At 39.1% G+C, this 20,145-nt stretch overlaps 1 protein-coding gene and 1 long non-coding RNA gene across 29 annotated transcripts in view, besides 1 other annotated feature; one reads left to right on the forward strand and one right to left on the reverse strand.

Moving 5' to 3' along the window:
* The window catches only part of STXBP6 (syntaxin binding protein 6), a 240,694-nt gene that overhangs the window by 45,759 nt on the left and 174,790 nt on the right, over nucleotides 1-20,145 (reverse strand). For 25 of the 28 annotated variants that reach the window (NM_001394418.1, NM_001394410.1, NM_001351942.3 and 22 more), the window contains 2 exons: nucleotides 1,815-1,945; nucleotides 724-889 (listed from right to left, as the gene is read on the reverse strand). The exons of 1 other annotated variant lie outside the window; for it this stretch is intronic. In NM_001394418.1, coding sequence (NP_001381347.1) covers nucleotides 724-889; nucleotides 1,815-1,859 — 211 coding nt within the window. In that variant the 5' untranslated portion in view covers nucleotides 1,860-1,945. Of the gene's footprint in view, nucleotides 1-723; nucleotides 890-1,814; nucleotides 1,946-18,722; nucleotides 18,793-20,145 lie in introns of all 28 variants that reach the window. 2 more of the 28 variants (XM_047431299.1, XM_006720121.5) reach the window with 1 other exon arrangement.
* LOC124903294 (uncharacterized) lies at nucleotides 5,598-11,138 on the forward strand. The gene is made up of 2 exons (XR_007064090.1): nucleotides 5,598-6,263; nucleotides 9,881-11,138. It is a non-coding gene; the product is annotated as an uncharacterized LOC124903294 (long non-coding RNA).
* Nucleotides 19,671-19,965: a silencer, noted in NCBI's record as "tiled region #10130; K562 Repressive non-DNase unmatched - State 24:Quies". NCBI's record gives its function as "represses a minimal TATA promoter and a strong SV40 promoter by Sharpr-MPRA in K562 cells {active_cell/tissue: K562}" and the evidence as "EXISTENCE:reporter gene assay evidence [ECO:0000049][PMID:27701403]".

The following is a 20,145-nucleotide window of genomic DNA, read 5'->3' on the forward strand; positions in this document are numbered from 1 at the left end:
TGGTGCATTTTTAAAAACAGTCTTTCAAAACCAAGAGACAGGTCAGTGAAAAGACCAATGATATAAACACTCTTCCCCAACTCACAGAGTTGTCAAGGCTTTTACATTTTTAGCACAGTATCAATTCTCTAAAAAGAAATGCCACCTAAGAAATGTGCTAAGCACCCTCTAAACATTTCTCATTATGTTGCCGATGCTGGCACTCACCCCTTTACAGTGGCTTACTGTACTCATCCTAACTCAGCTCTGTATGCCATTCAAGGAATAAACACGAGTTGCTTTTGAAAGAAAGGGGAAGCATCTGTTGGAATTTTTATATTAATATTTGTAAAACATCTTGAGAAAAAATAGAAAAAGGCAACCCAGAAAATGGTGTTCTGCAATGAAATTATAGAAAAGGTAGTAAAGAAACCAAAATAAAAGGTTTTTCTAATAAGGGAGCAGTTTTGTTCTCATCATTCAAATAATCTTAGCTAAGTGCAGATAAGAACTAGAAGGCTAATTCTAAAAAAGACCAGCTTTTGGACAAGAGTGAAAACATACCTTTGTGTCTAAATTTACCATACAATAAACTCCCTGGAATGGTTCTTATGTTGTCTAGCTCTGAGCATATTGATTCTTCTCCTGTTTTTGTCTTTAATTATGCTGCTGAACTCCTAACTTCTTAAGTAAAAGTGAGTCTAAAGAAACAGGATGACTAAAGTCACACAAATGTCCACTCACCTCCCATAATTTTGGATTGGCAGTTAATAAACTCTGGCTTCCTGTCCGTGAGGTACCTCTGGCAGGTATGGTGGAGGATCTGGAAGAAGGTGCATTTTTCTGACGCTGTGCTGGCTACCCACTGGTCAAAAGCATTTTCAAACAACAAATCAAACTCTGCCGAATCCTGGAAAAGACAATGAAATAACTACTAATCTCAATCTATAAAAACTGCTGTTTCTAGATTACTCCTGTCAAAAGATTTATAAGGGCTAAAACAAAGACTTTGATCGCAATCATAAGGCTCATCTTTATCCAAGTGTATGGAGAGTCTACATTTCTCTGTTTATGAAGCAAACCCCAAATCTTACAGTATTGATACATGTTCCTAGGAAACTAGTATCACACAAATTGAGATAGCCTAACTAAACACTGACAAATGTCAGAATTGAGACCATGTATTATCTTCCCAATTTCCTGGAAAAGGGATTCCTTTAGGTTCTCAGCAACGACCTATATTAATCTGGCCCCTAAACTTTGGTAGGAAGATTCCCTCTTGTTATTTTAGTCTATAGTAACAATTTATATTTTATTATTCTTCATTATTAGCATTTTGTGAGGTGTGCATGTGAGCAACGGGAATGTACTTTGCATAGATAACTATGCCATAAAATGTTTCTCCTATTAAAAGCAAGGGAATCACAATGCATACTGAAAGATACCATTCATTTACTTGATTTTTGGTAAATACACCTTGTCATTAGTGCCAGTAGGAGATAAATGAGGTTTTGGTAAACATGTTTTTTTTTTTCCATATTGATAACCATCGATATGATTATCTGCACTCTGAACTTCGTACTTTGCTGATCAATGTTACCGGAGGTCACATTTTTTCAATATGCATTCTGTTAGATTCCTCTATTAAACATGATGAAAAGATTTATAATTTCCCATAAGAAAGGACTCTGTATCCGAAAGTTTTAATCACATAATTGAAATAGAGAAATAGCCTTCTTAAGAATGATTCAAACCACCACTACCACTACCAAGGTCAATCAGAGAGTCATCTTGTGAAAAGAATGCCTTTGCTCAGCATTGGACAATTCACTCACCCCATTAGGATCGATACCATTAACCTGGCGAAGCTGCTCGAGCATCCACTGTGATCTCCGAACAAATGATGTGGAGCCTTCAAACTGTTTGACCTTTGTGATGGACGCCTGTGTGGGTTTCTTGTTTGTCACTGCCAAGAAAAGATCACTCAGATTAGTGCACCTGCAAGTTGGTGGTTTGTTTCCACATTCAGTGCTGTTTCTACAGGACACCTACTGTGTATATGCACAATAACAGAGAGAAGGCAGAGGGGGAAAGGAGGGAATATGAATAAATATGTGTGCCTTTGGTCAGGGGTGAACGTAAAGGAAATAGATGTTACAATCTCCACTCTGAAGCAGTTTACAATATAATTATAATTGTAAGGGCTGCTTCATTTATGTGTTTATCCATTCAAACTGAAAATGACTTAAGTGAATAACACCAAGCACCTTCAATGGAGGCTATAAGTGCACAATTACAGCTTGCAGGAAAAGAAGCATATAGTACTGACAGGCATCAGGTAAGGTTCACTGGGAAAGGCTGAATTTGAAAGGAAATGAAGGTAATTGGCTCCCCTAGAGAACTGCAAGGTATATTTCTAGTTTTATAGTCCAGTGTAAACATCTTAGGCTTCAGTGATGAGGAGTAATCCCTAACTCAAAAAATCCCCAAACTATTTGGCTCTCTAATATTGTTCAGTTTGTATCTAGTTTGCATCTAATTATGATTGAATCTGGTGTTCTGGGCACACCTCCACACCTGTAGGAAAAGGACAATTTCTTCTCTCAGCCTCAGTGAGTTCTTCCCCTAAGCCTTTCTGTGCTAAAGATGGACAGCATCACCTCTCAGACTGAAGCCAAGCATCAGGCACCAGGAGAGGCACTCTGAATATTTCTACATCTGCCTACTTTGTGACATGGAGACTCAAGGGTAGGAAGTAATTAATTGTCTTTAAAGGGATTTCCTAAAAGCTTCTCCTGAACCCTGGCTATAGGAATTAGCAAATTAAATAGAAAGGAACTACAGAAAGTAGAAATCATTATTGGCTATATTGAAGATGATCCTAATTACTGACTTGCTGAAGACTATGCATCTGTGGCATATTCTTTGTTTCGAATCACCCCACAGATTCCACACTTTCGAATAACTATGTAGATGCTCAACAGATGGCAAAAAGAATTCTGAAGGGATGAAGTACAGAAAGCACCTACTCCAATCACAGTTGGTGAGCAGGGAGACTCTACAGTTCACGCATTCCATAGCTTATTGCAGTTTCATTGTCGGGGGCCATTAAAGCAGGAGAGCAGAGACAAAGGAAAGGTGGCCACTGTCCTTAGATCTAGTGAGAACCCTACTTTCCCAGCACTGAAAACCACCTTTATGGCCTGAGTACTATCTACTCTCTCTGCTTCCAACCAAAATTTAGTGAAGATTTGTTTTTAAGTTCAAATAATGTTTTGGTTTATCACCCATTATTTCAGTTATATTTGCTAAAAACTTCTGAATATTTCATACCAATTACATTTACTTTTATGATTAAGAAGTCATCATCCCCTTAACACCCACAATCAGATGAAATTTTATAGTCTTCTATTCACAAATAGGAACAACCATTCCCTCTAATTGAATTCAGGCAGTATTACCAGTCTGCCCAGGACTCTGTCTATCCATTTAATTCGATTCATTTATTTTTTGTGTCTCCTATGACACAAATGGGAGACCTAATAGGTTTCTCTGATGGCTGTGACCTGCTCTTACGTTTTAATGTTAAAGAAAACAATACACCTGGAATACAGGCAGGTCTTAAAATGTGCTTAAAAGATTAAAAAAGGCTTTTCAATAACAGGAAAACATGGGTTCCTGTATTAGACACACACCCCTAAATGCACAAAGAGAATTTCCTCCTGTGTTTATGTAAATCATACAACATTTAAGCCTGGGAAACATAAAGGCTTTCTTTCTAACTTTAAAGTTGTTATGAGCTCCTATTTTCACTTCTGGTCCATTTGCTTCCAAGTAATTTACAGCATTTTAAAAGCTTCAACACAACTCGAGATCACTGTATATTGCGGGCATGTTTTAAGATTCACATCTAAGGAAGGTAAGTTCCATTGAAAGTTTGTCATTGAAATGAGGCATGCAGGAACCCCAACTATTATGACAAATGACCCCATGGAATTCCTCCACAGTGATCACACTGCAGAGCAGTCATTTTTAATGGAGGCAGTTGCAACTCTATCCATTCCTGCCTTTCCTCCCCTATTAGTTTATTCCTTGCCCAGTTCTTGGAGTCTGGCTAGTTTTCCTGGGCACTGAGCCTGGTTGGTTTAATTTTTGTTTATTGTTATTATCTCCAGCATCCTAGTTTCTATTTTGAAGCAGGTGTCTTAAAATTATATTATTATATACACATCGTATAGAGTTAAATTAAGACTTTCCCCTTCTGAAATCAAAACACTTGCACACACACACACCATTGCCAGACTTTTTGAGTACATACTTGAGGAAAGCATGCTTTAACTATTTCATTGTTTTGTTGTTTTGGGAGTCAGTAGCTGATAAAAAATACGCCAGTCACACAAAATCCAGATGTCTAGTGAAAAACAGTGATTCACCTTCTCTTTCCAAAGGAAAGCTAATTGACAGTACACCCTGGAAAATGCAACCAAATTATCTGGATCAGTAATATCATAGAGCTGCATGCTAGAGACTCCCAAAGTCATTATTTTGAATGACTTTAAAGGTCAGGGGATTTCCGTTATGGCTTCAACATTCACAGGGAAGAGACCAACACAGAGGCATTTAAAGGAATAGGGTGGGTATGACTCCCAGGTAATACTGTAGACCACTCTGAAGCAGCCGATTCTCCGGCTTCCTGCACTGGTATCAGAGGCAGGCAGAAGCATGGGGGCAACCCAATTCAGGCCGCTTTGCTATTAGCTCTGAAAAAACAACATGGTTTTCATGGCTTCATGCCTCTTCTTTGGCTTTCATGTAGACTTGCTACTACCTTTCAGCTTTGGTTAAGAAGCAGTGACACAAACTATTATGTCCAGAATATCCAAAATATCACTGCCATCACTACTCCAGTGGAGTAACATCTCTGTCTCATGAACTAATGGTCTAAAGAGCTCTTTTTAAAAATGGCCCCTCCATGAGACACTTTATACAAACAAAATTCGAAAACTTGCTATACTCAAAGGGTGGAGACCACTGACCTTGCCTGTGCCCAATCAGAGAATTCTATTTAATTAAAAACCAATAAGCCAGCCAATAACAAAGACCATGTCATAACAAATTGGTCTTGCAACAAGTCAGGAAAGTAGAACTGGTAGAAGAGGGAACAAAGACCAATGAAGAAAGACAGAAAGACAAGTCACTTGCATGTTATGTGAAATGGGAGAAGAGCTCATATACCGCCAAGATTCAGAGGCAGATCCTCTGTTTCAAGGTCCAGTGGCTGAAAGACCACTTTTTCCAAAAAGCCACACTGTTACACCTACACTCTCATTATTCACAGCATAATCCCTCAACTATTCCAAAAAGGAAAACCAGTTTGGCCTAGGAGACAAATTATCTATTTAAAATAAATAGCCTTAAAATATTATTTTAAAGGAGACAATCAGTATATACCACCTGTACATCCTCAACTATCTCATATTTGAGATAGCTGAATAACATCTTTTTACACATTTTTCTACATTTACTATACACATTGAACTTGAATTACTTTATAACTTTATGTGGCCATTTCTCAAAAAAGTAAAAAAGAAAGGAAAGAAGAAAAGGGGTAAAAGAAAAACAGATTGCACCCCCAATAGCTATAGTTTTGATGTTTAGGGTGGCTAAAAATAAAATAAATATCCTTAAAATATGATTTTAAAGGAAACAATCAGTATATACCACCTCTACATCCTCAACTATCTCATATTTGAGATAGCTGAATAACATCTTTTTACACATTTTTATACATTTACTATACACATTGAACTTGAATTACTTCATAACTTTATGTGGCCATTTCTCAAAAAAAGAAAGAAAGAAAGAGGGCAAAAGGAAAACAAACTGCACTAAATAGCTATAGTTTGATGTTCAGGGTGGCTAAAAAGCAGAATTTACCACACCTACATACCTAAGATGCCTTACACTTTCATCATGTGCAGCCCTATTTTGACCTTACAGTTAAGTGAAGGTCCGTGTTGTGTGGTATGCCTCAGCTCTCTGCTCTGCTGGAGTCTAACCACCAGACATTTTGATTTCAACAAGAGTGCTGATGAAAAATAAATAAGCTGGAGGTAAAAAAAAGAGGCAGTATTCACATAGAATATTATCAGGGCTGCTGTGTGACTGTGCCAGAGGTGACTAAGGGAAAAGAAGAAAGCAAGCTTCTGAAATGAGGGTTCAGGAAGTAACTGAGTGTGGCTTCTTGGTGCTGCTGTGGTGACAGAACAGGCTACGTGGCCAAGGTGAGAAATAATTATTTGGAGCTAGTTTCCTTACTGTTCTTCCAAAGCTCTAGTGTATGATAATTCTGGGTGGATTTCGCAATATCCATGAGAAACAAATATCAGGTCTGAGGCTGCTGCGCCAGCAATTCTATCAGCCAAGATGGCTGAATGTTTATAAAGCATAAAAGCAAAAATATCTAGGTTGTTACCTTAAATGCTTTCAGAACAGGGAAACATCCTCTCTGCTATAGTTAGTGGGAAATGGAGCATGGTGCTCTCCACACAGGATTGATCTTTTGCTTCTCACACTATTTCTTAGTGTGTTATAATTTGGGGACATAGTAAATGTTTAGACCCTGCAGGCTATGTAACCCAGAGTTGCAAACCAGACCAACTTGTGAAATGGTCAAGTTTGTCTCTGGGGCCCTCCCCTTCTCCTCCTTCTGTTTCTTCCTTCCCATCTTAGAATCTGGCTCTCTGGCCAGATTCCCAATAGGACCCAAAGGGGTCTGACATGGGATACTTAAATCTGCGCGTTTTTTGTTCTGTTTTGCTTTCAAGACAGGTCTCACTCTGTTGCCTCTGCTGGAGCGCAGCAGTTGCAGTCATGACTCAGTGCAGCCTCAATCTCCTGGGCTCAAGCGATCCTCCCTCATCAGCCTCCCAACTAGCTGGGACTACAACACATGTGTGCCACTACACCCAGCTAACTTTTATTTTTTTTGTAGAGATGGGGGTCTATGTTATCCAGGCTGGTCTCAAACTTCTGGGCTCCAGTGATCCTCCCACCTTGTCCTCCCAGAGTGTTAGGATTACAGGTGTGAGCCACCATGCCCGACCTAAACCTGGATGTTTTAAGGAAGGTCTGTTTCTTTTCTTTTCTTTTTCTCAAAAGAACAGCAACAACAAAAACGGTGGTACTTCAGTCATGTGCACCAAGCCACTGGGGAAAAATGTAGGATGCCCTTAAACAGTCCCTGCTCCATTAACCCCAAAGGTGGAAGGAAACAATAAAATCAGTGCATAGGGCTTTGGGAAGCAGATTTCCTCAGTCTACTGAAAAGATAATCACAAAGGAAAAAGTTTTCCAGACAAAAGTTTCCTGATTTTGAATCACTAGTTCCTTAGTATCACTAGTTCCTAGGTATCCAACTATATACCACATTCTCATCTCCAAAAGTGGAAGAAGAAGAGATAATGGAAAGTCTAGGAAATTTCTCCAAAAGGGATGCCAAAAAGGAACCACTTTATGAAAATGTCTTGCTTTGTAAAGCAGTTTGGGTAAGTCTTTCAGTAGAAGGAGAAAAATAAAAAACATCTTGCTAAAAAATTCTATGGGAAGGCTGCTTTAATATGAAGGCACAGCACTACGTCCAGAGTAGTTAGCAACTATGCAAATAATAGAGCAAGTGCCTGCCCTACACCAACTTTGCAGGCGGTACTAGCTGGTTTTAATGCTTCCATATGCCAACGAGGAAGCGGCATTACTTTTGGGATGTGCAATTTTAATGCCACAGGCCCACATGAGATCGATCTAGTTAGTACTTTTAAAATCTAGTCCCTTTTAATTTTAAACCTTCTTTATTCTGTTGATAATTTTATTAAATGTAAAAATATGTAGATTTTTATTTTGAAAGGATACTCTCTTTTTCAAGTAAATGACAGGTAGTCCTGGACTATTACATTTTAACCTTAAAATCAGGAACCTTAACCCCTGGAAGGCTTGAGTTCCCCACTGCCCTCCCCAGACTAGGACCACGATATGGTTTTATTATAATGGATACAGAGTGCTAACTGAGGTAGGCATGTATAAATCCATGAGGGAATGAATTTTTTTTTAAGTTTTTATTTTTGGCCTTTGAGCTTCTTGTGGATAATTTGATACATTCTTGAGTCAGGTGGCTGCTTCTTTGATGCCTTTGATGGCTCCTCAACAAAAGGAAGAACAGTTCCTGTGCTCACAAGAAACCATGAACTTACTTCAGGTTCAACTGTTTAGTTTCAAAATTCAGCCACAGTTTTAAGGTATTTGAACATTTTCTTACTAGAAAAGAGGAGTATCCCAAGAACTACAAGTAAGAGTAAAGAAAATGGTAATAACCAAGAAGTTACAGAAATATCAAGAGATATCAAGAGACTAGAAGGAAAGGAATTTAGGGGTGAAAACCTCTTACAACAATCTCTTTTCCTGCAATCCTTATTCTAGCAGCATCTCTCTTAAGTAATTCTGTTTGTTTCAGGCTTCCTGAAAATATGATTTCAGGGAGATTCAACAACCCAAAAGGTTTCCCAATATGTTTGATTTTTTAACTTCCTTAGACATTTCTCCATAGACCTGCAGAGAAAATAAATTTGCATGAATTTTGGATAAAGGGAACACATACAATGAATTATAGAACCTAGTTAATATTAGTTATTGCAAACTAATAGTTATATTTTATATGGAAAATTTATATAACATGTCTGTTTCATGTAATATAACTGTGAAACAAACAAACAGGTCTGAGCAAGACAGTAAATGCCCAGAGTTGTGACAACGGATGGTTTCTGAAAGGGATTAAATCCAATTCCACCTATGGTATTAGACAAGGAAGATAATGGAAGGGGTTAACTACAGTCACAAAGTCTTATTCTGTTCTTACTTCCTCAATTCTAGAAACAGATGTAAACATCATTTTTGATCCATTCTTAGGCGAGATTTACAGAGTATCAAAAAACAAAGGCTTCAAAGTCACGGCCAACTGACTCAAGAATGTATTAAGTTTCTCCACAAGAAGCTCAAAGGCTGAAAATAAAAACTTGAAAAAGAGATTTCTTTAATGTTATGCTTTCCTTTAACATTATCCATTATATACTGAAAAGTGTAGGGCAAACAGCAATTCTCTTCAGGAAAATGTCATACGTGGTAGAAATTCAATGCATATTTTACCTAGAAGAGCGGCTAAAAAGCATTCTTAGAACTAAAAAACCCTTTACAATGAGAAGAGATGGAAGCGTTTCTGCAGCTAAGGAAGCAGGTGAGGGAAGGGCCTGTGACTATGCTCCTGGATACCACGCACCTGCTGCTGAGCTTCCTCTTTCAAAACATAGATTAGGTCTAAAAGAACCATGGAAGGATGTCATGTGCACATGGATCTCCTTTAATGTGAGAAGGCCATTCCAAAGGGAAAAAAAAGGGACTCAGATTTGAAGGAGAAAGAGTAACAGAGAGAGAATTTTTAAATGGACTAGATACTAAACATATATCACTAGGTTTTTGGAAAAATCAAAGCTGTTATTACTTGGCAAGCATAAGCTGTCAAATATAATTACCGCTATCAGTCAAGCAAAGGCAGAATTATCTGCTCTCTTGGCTCTCCTGCCTCCTCACCACCACCACCATCCCTTCTTTAGTATTTTTCATCATACATTGTAAATGAAGGGATACAGCACTGAAGTTCTAAAAAAAAGTGCATGGTATCACTAAGAACCCGCCACCTTCTCTCTCTACTGTGTTCGACTGGGGAGTAAAATCCAGCAACATGCTCTGGTTAAAACCAAGATCAACTACATTATAAAAATTATCTAAAATTAAAATTAGCTGAATTTATTGTAATTTAAAAAATATTTTAATTTTTAATTTTTTAAAACTCTAGGCAAGATCTACTAAAGCTGAACATGTACATATTTTATGACCCAACAATTCTAATCCTGTGGCTACATCCAATCCAGATAAGTGCTATGTCTACCCTCCTGCCTGAAGTAACCAAAAATGGACAAAATATATGAAGCAATGGTTTTTAAGGCATTGTATATCAAGCAATGAAGCATAATGACCCCTGAGAGATGGGAAATGAATAAGGTGAGCCCTACAATTGTACTAGTTTACTGCTTTGAGAGAGTTTCTAGGCTGTGGTGCACGGAGGAATAACCCAGGAAGAGACTGGCAGATTCCCTGAGTTGAAGCGAGTGCTGAGAACCCAGGGATACCAAGATGGCTAAAATTCTTAAGACAGAGTACTAGAGAAGAGAGACACAGAGAAAACTCTAGAGATCTGCAGAGATTTGCCTATGACAATTCAGCTGAGTGATTCCCATCATATGTTTGTGAGGAAACTATCTGAGGTTTAAAAAATAATCACTCAAAATGAATAGAGGATACAGTACTCCATGCTCACACAGGGCTGGGAATAGTGCCTGTTTCCATCATCCAGACTGGAAAAACCTCAAGATTCCTGGGGCACTGAGTAGAATACAGATAAAAGTCCTGCTTCATTAGTGAGGAATAATTAGCCCTAGACAAGCAATGCTCTAGTCCTGTACAACAAATGTGGTATGAAGATTATATGGTATTGAGTTTATAAAATATGAAAAAGTAAAATATATAGCAACAGTAGCAAAATTTGGGATGGGAGAAATGAAAGTGAACTATTGGACAGTTCTCATACTATACATGAAGTAGTGTATTACTCGAAGGTAGAGTATGCTAAAGATATATGCTATAAACTCTAAAATAACTAAACGAAACCACTAAAATAACAAGAGTCACAGTTGTAATGGATATATCAACTTGACTGGCCTGCAGTGCCCAGGTATGTAGTCGAACATTATTCTGGGTGGTTTGATGAAAGTGACTTTGGATGAGATTAACATTTAAATCTGTGGACTTTGAGTAAAGCACATGACCCTCCTTGATGTGAGTGGGTCTCATCCAGTCAGTAGAAGATCTGAATACAACAACAGACTGACCTCCCCAAGCAAGAAGGAATCCTGCTGGTAGAAGGCCTTTGGACTTGTACTGCAATACTGGCTCCTTCTTGGGCCTCCAACCTGCCAGCCTGCCTTGCAGATTTTGGACTTCCCAGTCTCCATGATCATGTGAGCCAATTCCTTAAAATAAATCTCTTTTATATATATGTGTGTGGGTGTATATATATGTGCATGGTGTATATATGTACATATGTGTGTATATATATGTGCATGCATGTATATGTGTATATGCGTGTGTATATGTGTGTGTATGTATATACACTCATTCTATTGGTTCTGTTTCTGGAGAACCATGACTAATAGTCAATAAGGCAACAAAGACAATTCCATTTACAAGAGTATTGAAAAGAATAAAATGCTTAGGCATATGTTTAACCAAGAAGTGTAAGACTTGTACACTGAAAACTACACAACATTACAACATTGCTGAAAGAAATTGAAGACTTATAGAAATGTAAAAATACCTCATATTCAAGGATTGGAGGACTTAATGTTGTTAAGATGGCAATAATCCTCAAACAAACCATGGTATGTCTGTCCACAGGAATACTCTACAGATTCCAGTGGACAGACATACCATGGTAATGGGTCAGAAGACTCAATATTATTAAGATGTCAGTTCTCCCCAATTTGATCTAAAGATTTAATGCTATCTCAATCAAAATTCCAGTGGGCTTCTTTTTGTAGAATACGACACATTAATTTAAAAACTCATATGGAAGTTCAAAAGGCTAGAAGAGCAAAAACAACTGTGGGAAAAAAGTTGGAAGACTTACACTATCTGATTATATAAGACTTGTTGTAAAACCAAGTGTAATATGGTTGGTTGATGGTTACTCTGCAAAATTCATGTTAAAACTTAATCCCCATTGCAACAGTATTAAGAGTTGGGCCCTTGAGAAAGAGATCAGGCCATGAGAGCTCCAACCTCACGAATGAATTTAGTGCCTTCTAAAAGGGACCTGGGAACTAGCTTGGCCCTTTTGCCCTTTTGCCATATGAGGACACAGCATTCATCTCTCTGGAGGATGCAGCATCAAGGCACTATCTTGGAAGCACAGACTGGGCTCTGAGCAGATACTGAAACTGCCAGTGTCTTGATCTTGATCTTGATCAGCACCTCCAGGACTGTGAGAAAAAAAGTCGGTGGTTGATAATTGCCTAGTTTCAGGTATTTTGCCACAAGAAGCACAAATGGATCAAGACAATAAACTAATCAGGACAATGTAATACTGGCATCAAGACAGACACATAGATCAATGCAACAGAATAGAGAGGCTGGAAAGACCTGTACATATGTGGAAAACTTGTTTTCAATAAAAGTGAAAAGGCAATGCTATGGAGAAAGGACAGTCTTTTCAACAAATGGTACTGGAACAACTGGATATCCACATGTACAAAGAGGAATTTCAGTTTGTATATACAAAGCATATACTTTGTACTATACACAAAAAAAATAAATCGAAATGGGTGATATATCTAAATGTAAAGGCCTAAAATTACAACACTTTTAGAAGAAAACGAAGAAAATCATTATGACCTTGGGTTACGGCAAAGATTTCCTATATATAACACTAAAAGCACAATTTATGAAATATAAAGTTAATAAGTAGGACTTCATGGAAAACTTGTGCTCTTTAAGATAATGAAAAGATAAGCCACAAACTGTGAGAACATATTTGCAAATCATATCTGATAAACTTGTATCTGCCGGGCATAGTTGTTCATGTCTATAATCCCAGTACTTTGGGAGGCTGAGGTGGGCAGATTGCTTGAGCTCAGGAGCTTGAGACCAGCCTGGGCAACATGGTGAAACCCTGTCTCTACAAAAAATACAGGAACCAGCTGGGTGTGGTGGCACATGCTTATAAAGTTCCAGCTACTCAGGAGGCTGAGGTGGGAGGATTGCCTGAGCCGGGGAGGCAGAAGTTGCAGTGAGCTGAGATCATGCCACTGCACTCCAGCTTGGAAGACAGAGTGAGACTCTGTTTGAAAACACAAACAACAACAAAAATCTTGTATCAAGAATATACATTTAGAAACTCTCAAAACTCAACAAAAGAAAGCTAAATTAATAAGCAAAAGATTTAACACTTCACTAAAGAAGATGTGGATGGAAAATAAGCACATAAAAGGATGTTCAACATTACTAGTCATTAGGGAGAAGCAAATTAAAACCACAATAAGATATTATACACCTATTATTAAAAATTAAATTAAAAATACTAAGGATACCAAGTGTTGGCTTGTATACAAATGTTCAGAACAGATTTATTTGTAATAGCCAAACACTGGAAACAACCCAAATGTCCCTCAGCAGGAAAATGGATAAACTGTGGTATATCTATACATGGAGTCAGAGACAAAAGCAAGTGCAGATTATGGAGACCCTGGTGAACAAGGCTTTGTAAACATGAAGCAGGAGTGTCAAAGGATCTGACCTGCATTTTAAAAAGTGTTCTCCAACTGCTGCAGGTCAAAGAGGTCATGGCAGGAGTGGGCATGAAAGCAGGGAAACCCTTTTGGAACTTCTACCGCAATAGCCCAGGAGAGAGGCGCTGCCAGTAGCTTAGACCAGAGGGTAGTAGTAAAAACAGAGAGAAAAGGGATAGTCTAACCCACTCTTCATTGCAGTTGACTCTCCAGACCAAAATCTTCAAGGTCAGTCACGAAGTCCCAGGCATGTTCGTACTGCAATGCCTAATGAATTGGAGGCCACTGCTTATTGAACATCACATTTTGCATATGTCAGGAAAATAAAGATAATTCTTTGTATTTTTATTTACCTGCATGTGCTATCTCATCTATCAGACTGCAAATAACCTGAAAATGTAAGACTACGTCTTTGCATTCTTCAGGTACCTGGTAGGGTGCCCTACTGAGAGTTTTAACTCAAATATGCATCACATGACATATCTCCATTCCGATCACAAATAACTACCTATTTGCTGTATGTACTGGTGACTGTGATTAGCAATATTTCACCCACCCTACTCTCTTTATTGGCTATCTCTCTTTTTTTAAATCCAGGGTCATTTAAGGCAATATGGGGAAATAAAAAAAGAATAAGCAGGCACACCTGACTACCAAATCCTGCTATGTGGTAAAGAGCAGCTTCTCTCATAAAGAAAGCCAGCATCTCTGTGACTTCTGTGCAGATTCCAAGGTGAAACCCATTGTTATACACATCATTAGTATTTATGTAGCAGCCTATGAATCATTCCCGAAATAAATGATGCCACTTGTGTTAAATGATTTCTTCCTAAGAAAAATCCCTGGGGGGTCTTTCCAGGCATGGCCTTGATGAAGATTCAGAACAAAAGAAATACAACACCCGACTCTCTGGTGCTGAATAAGTGGTGATATGCTCAGCTTTCTCTATTCAATTCTCCACTGATAATTTGTGCCTAAATCGCATCATAATTGGGGGATAAACCGTTTTAAGGAGATGAGCCACAACTGTCAAAACGCTCTTCTCAAAACTCGGCTGGTCATGATGTCCACACACTTCCATCCACCTGTCCCACGGTATCTTCCCCTCCCTCAGACTTACAGCCTAAAGTAGAGATTATTCTGATAAAGCCAATCTGAATCAGAGAACAGTCACCAGATTGAGCATTACTCTATGACAGAGAGAAGCTGTTGCTCTCAGTAAACACTAAAAGTGGTCCCTAAACTTTGTTCCATGGGGTTCAGGGATAGAGCTCAGTGCTTATCCAGCTTTTTGGTGTCTACACTATGAAGTATGGTTCCCTAGTTTTACTGGATGTCACTATTTTCCACTGTGAAGGTAAGTAAGGGCATTATATTAAAATTGAGTAACAGGAACAACCATTATGTATAGTATGGTTTGTGTCAGGCAGATAATAAATTTATTGAAGGTTCATGCATACCAGTAAACAGACCTACTAATTTTGAATTTTCAAACCCTTTGCATAAAATTATTTTGGTACTAAAACCTCAGTTTACTTTGACTGGAATTTGAGGCAGAAATCATCAACTCTGCATTGGAAGGTAACCTATATTAGGTTTAAAGCTGTACTTAACGAGGGGCCAAATATGTGAAGTCCCTAGATCAACAAAACACTGCAAATTATAACTTCTATTGGCCCCTTCAAAAGCAATGTTTTGCATTCTTTTAATGTACAAACTAAAGTTCTGTTCAGCCTATTACACCAATTTGACATAATTAAAGTTCACTTAACCGATTTTACATGTACGGTTTGTACTTCTGCCTATGTAATCAAGGTAATACAGAGTTATAGAGTGGGAAGATATCTCAAGACGTTTATTCTCCACTCCAAATGTTACCTTTGGGCATGTTACCTTCTAAGATACATTATTTTAGTGTCTTTTTCTAACTTTTTTACTCTCATAAAAATAACTTACAACCCATCCTAATACTTAAAAAGCGTGACAAGAAACTCTTCTTTCAGATTATGACTACAGCCATTTGCATTTGCTTATATTTTCTATTCTTGAAATTTGTCATTTAAATGGTCTCCAGTTTTCTTCATGTTCAAATTGTCCTGGTTCACTTAGTCTTCCTAAATAGACTCCCTACCCCATCACCACCACCTGTGTGGTCCTCCATTGACCCTAGCTGAGCTCTCCATGTCCCCCTTCAGATCTAAGTAGAATGGTTTAAAAATGCATCACAAAAATACGAAACACAACAAGTTCACATTCAGAGTTGGACTGGTCAGTACTGCTATTTGAGTATGCCAGCATTTTAAAAAACTAAGATGCTACATGCTCATGGCCATCTTGTTATCTGCCACGGTGCTTTATAGGCTCATTCTTTGGCCATATTCTTAAAGAGATCAGAGAAAAATGTAATTGACATTTGAAACATGTTTTTTTTTTTTCTCTAGAAACCACGCCAATATTTTGCATCCCATTATGTTCTTTTTTCACTACTTTCATATGGCAGGAAGCCCATTTTAAACTCCTTAAGAGAGAAAAAGCTATCTCCTTTCCTCACTAAAGAACTTCACACTGGAGAGGCATGGCTTCTACTTCTATCCCTTCTCCAGCTCCCATTCCCAATCAAAGTAGAGCTAGGTGTTTAGCAGAGTTCCTTACACACAGTAAACATCAATAGAGCATATCCACTGAATGAACACTATTAATATTGGGTGATAGGTTGTTGGAAGTAGGAAGATGGCACTGAGGAAGAAAAGATTAAAAAATGAAAGGTGTTGCGTGAAGTCTGTTGGTAGGTGTAACTAGTAGTTGCCATGGCTTGAATAACTCCCATGGAGAAAGAATAACTTCCATGAATATGTGCTGTAGGTCTTGCTTCATCAAGCTGTACATTAGGAATGTGCCAGATGATGCTGTCAGGGGCCAAAGGTTACAAGAACACTCACAATGCAGCAACCAGCTGAATATTTACTACCTGCAGAAGCAAATGATAAAATATCTCCTCTCCAGAGCAAGGACTGTCTGCATGGCGTTGCTGCTTTCAAGCCATGGCCCACTACTGGATGGTGCCTGGAGAGCTTGTGATAAGAATGGAGCACATTTTCCAAATGTGAATATCACTAACTCAGGAACTCTGATGTCTTTCCATAACCTAAACTCAAATATCATTGCCTGGGACCATGGATCAAAACATTCACCTGACTCATCAGAGCTAGTAACTTTAAAAGAACCTGCCTCTCTGGGATGTGTGAGGACACAAAGGCAATGCATCTGCTCGAGAGTCTTTACTAATAATCTGGTGCCTCCATCTGACTCCATGGGCCCAGACCTCCATGGCCAACAGAGTAATTTCTTAATTAGCCTTTGCTGGGCCTCCCGCATACCTTAGCACTAAGCAGTACCAGCACTTCTATAAAGAAGGAAAATTTTCCAGGAACTAACAATATCAAACAAATAAACAGAGAAACTAAACTATGCCAAAATTCCCACGAAGACTTACTTTTTCAAACAGAAATTTTAGTCTATTAGCAAATCGGCAGATTCCTAGACACTCTCTAGTATGAATAAGAAATCCAAATGGGTCTCAGAAGATAAGCATTGAGGAGTAAAATGCAAAATAAAATATAAAAAAAGGAAAGACAAATGTATTTGTGCCTGGCAATGCAAACCTACATTGGCAAATCAGGAATTACAAATAAGATAACCGGCCACAGTTCTCCAAGTGTCTTTTTATTGAATCTTTTCTCAGCTGCTGTGACTTCATACCTGAAGTCAGTGATAACATACAATGCTAGGCATGCACATTTTGGAGTTCCAAGGCACTTGAGACCCTGTATAGCAGAGACACATAGGCCATCACAAAACCCTAAGAGTTGACAAAATCATGACAATTCTAAGCAGCCTTAGAGGAAGTGACTGACACAGTGACTAACAAAGGCCACTTTAGGGTTTGATGTTGTTACAAGGATAGAGTGAATGCCTCTCTCCTATATGTCTCTGCTAAAGAGGTCAAGGAAGTCAACGAGAGTAGGGAGATGCCACGGTCCACCCAGTGGTAGTGCAATGGCTACCCTCTTGACCACAGGCCATCATCCTTAGATCCTTATAGTTAGAACTCTGTGCATGCCTGGGATGCCTTCACAGCCACCTCCTCCAAATCTAACGTGTGTCCATCCTTCACAGGCCAAGTCTACATCTTCCCTCTGCCACATGGCTTTCCTCAGAAATCCAGCTCACACTTCTTGCCTTTCCCAAAATGTTTTTTATTTTTCTCTGTAACATTCATTTTGGGACTTTGTTGTGCCGAATCTGATTCAGAAACATAATGGAAACATGCTATTTGCAAGCAAATGGTTCGTCCTAAACTGCCAGGTTGTTTTTTATTTGTAATTTAATAGGTTAAGCTGTTTTTGTACATCTTATTCATTCTATTCATTTGCTTGGGAAGTATTTTCACCCTACAGGTAACGCAAAGGGAAGCTTCAGCCAAATTCATCATGAATTTATAAAAAATTCTAAATTCAGAACGCATAAGCCTCCCTCAAATAAAAATGTATCCCCTGATAAGCTTGCCGTAGGATCTTGTTTATTAGTAGTTTGCTATTCTAGGCAAAATAGAATATAGTCCCTTCTTCTCAACGGTTTTCAGGTTACATTTAGATAAAAAAAAAAATTCAAGCAAGAAATGGTAGTTCAGGGCCAACAGAGGGTTCAACAAGCCAGAAGAGCCAGGACAGTTTTCAGAGGAAGGCAAGTTCTGAAGAAAGACTCAAAGAAAGGAAGAAACTGAATCCCTCAGGGGAGGAAGAATGAACACACAGCATAGTCACTCTCTCATGTGTCCCAATGAATGGTAAAAAAGCCACATTTCCAGAGGTAACAGAGTAAAAGATGGAGTGGAAATGGCTATGAAGTGATTGGTTTGGGATTCTAATGAAATGAACAATGAGAACGGTGACTTCCATCTCTGGACTCAAGCCATTGTGGTGTCCCCATAGAAGGAAGTACGGGAAAGGTCAGTGCCTTCTGCGTGCGACATTTGTTTTTCCTCCTTAGTGTTGGACAACAACCACTAACTTTCTCCCTTTTCCTGAGGACTCTTTTGTAAGGAGATTCATTTTGCAGATGAAAATCCACACCCTGGTTCACTCTTCTCTGAATGACGGGAACAATGAGGGTGTAGGACAAGAATGCAGGAACAGTGTCCAAGCATAACTGATGCTGGCTGTGTCTGCCTGAACTCCTGTGCATACTCTTTTCCTAAGACAATATGTATAACAATGCATAGACCACCATGCCCACCTTGGATAGACAGATGCCTTCTTTTGCTGATGTGCAGATGCAAAAGCCCTTCGTTGTCAATTCTGCTGCCCTACAAATGAGATAAGGGAAGCATTTGTAGGATCACAAACTAAAGTTAGTATTCACTGAGCACTCCAAACGGGAACTTCCAAATTTTAAGTAACGGCAATTTTTAAGAGATGGAGGAAGAAAAAAACCACTTGCTTTTTCCTTGGAAAATTGCTCACTCCCTCTCTCTTCCTTTTGAGGGTACAGGGAATATTTTCTGGCCAGTCGTCTGAATTGAGGGCAGGGTGTTGTGGGGAGGGCATCCCTATTAAAGCTAGGGACAAGGGAGATGAGAGGGATAGTCACTCAGATTCTGATGTCCAGTGCTTATGCCCTAATTTCAGATTTGTATTATGGGACTCATTATACTACTAGCCTCCATTTCTAGCCAACATTTCCATAGAGTGTTGCTCAGGTATGTTCAGAAGAGTGTGGAAAGCCCCTTGCCCTAGTTCCACCGACGGGTACAGACTTTATTATGCTATAGGGTCCATCCCACCCATGCCGTCTCAGCCACTATCCTTGAAAGGCTCTGGAGAAACACAGCCAGAATCCAAATCGCTCCCAAATGTAAACAAGCTTTGTTCACCAAAGCATAAAGCCAAGCAGAAAGCTAGGATGGTCCATGTATTGTCACAGGTAGAAGGTCATTTTAATTCAAAGAGTAAAGCTAATTAAGTGACTATTTTTCAGATATGAGAAAAAAGTTGTTTGCTGAGACAACAAAGTAGAAGGAAATTTATGTGAGAATCCATAACATGTTTCCTGCTGGGGGTCTTAGACAAGGTCCCTTTGCAGGGGTCCCAGCACTACACGGTGGCTCTTTCAAAGAATTACACATCGACCGGCTGTCTCCTGAGAGGATGGGGATGCTCCTTCCTGACTCCCTGTGAGTGGGAACACGCTCATTAAAATGGCTCTCCAGTGGAAGCCAGTGTTTCTGCTATCAAATCACCCTATCATTCCTCGCCTGCTCCATCATGGGCCAAAACAGCACAGGATTTGGCCTAGAAACTAAGCAATCCCTTCTGCAAAGGAAGCTGCTCTACATGGAGAATGAACCTTGTACCCATTAGCACTGACTGCAGCTAACTGAATAACAGCAGCAGCTCTAACAGGGAGGAAGCATCGGAGAGAAAGCCCTGGACCGGGAGTCAGGAGGCTGGGGGTCCTGTGCCCATTCTGCCTACCTGTCCATGGACATTACATGTGTCTTTTCCTATCTGGGTCTCAAAAACACCAGATGAGAAAGACCCTAAGAGCGCCCTCACAATTCTATGAGTCACAGAAGTGCATGCTGCCCACTGTGATGCCCCTTCTCTCAAGCCTGGAGATCTCACTGATAAAATGAGAAACAGAATACCACTTTATAGAT

This window comes from Homo sapiens, chromosome 14, assembly GCF_000001405.40.
Source record: "Homo sapiens chromosome 14, GRCh38.p14 Primary Assembly".
Taxonomy (NCBI): domain Eukaryota; kingdom Metazoa; phylum Chordata; class Mammalia; order Primates; family Hominidae; genus Homo; species Homo sapiens.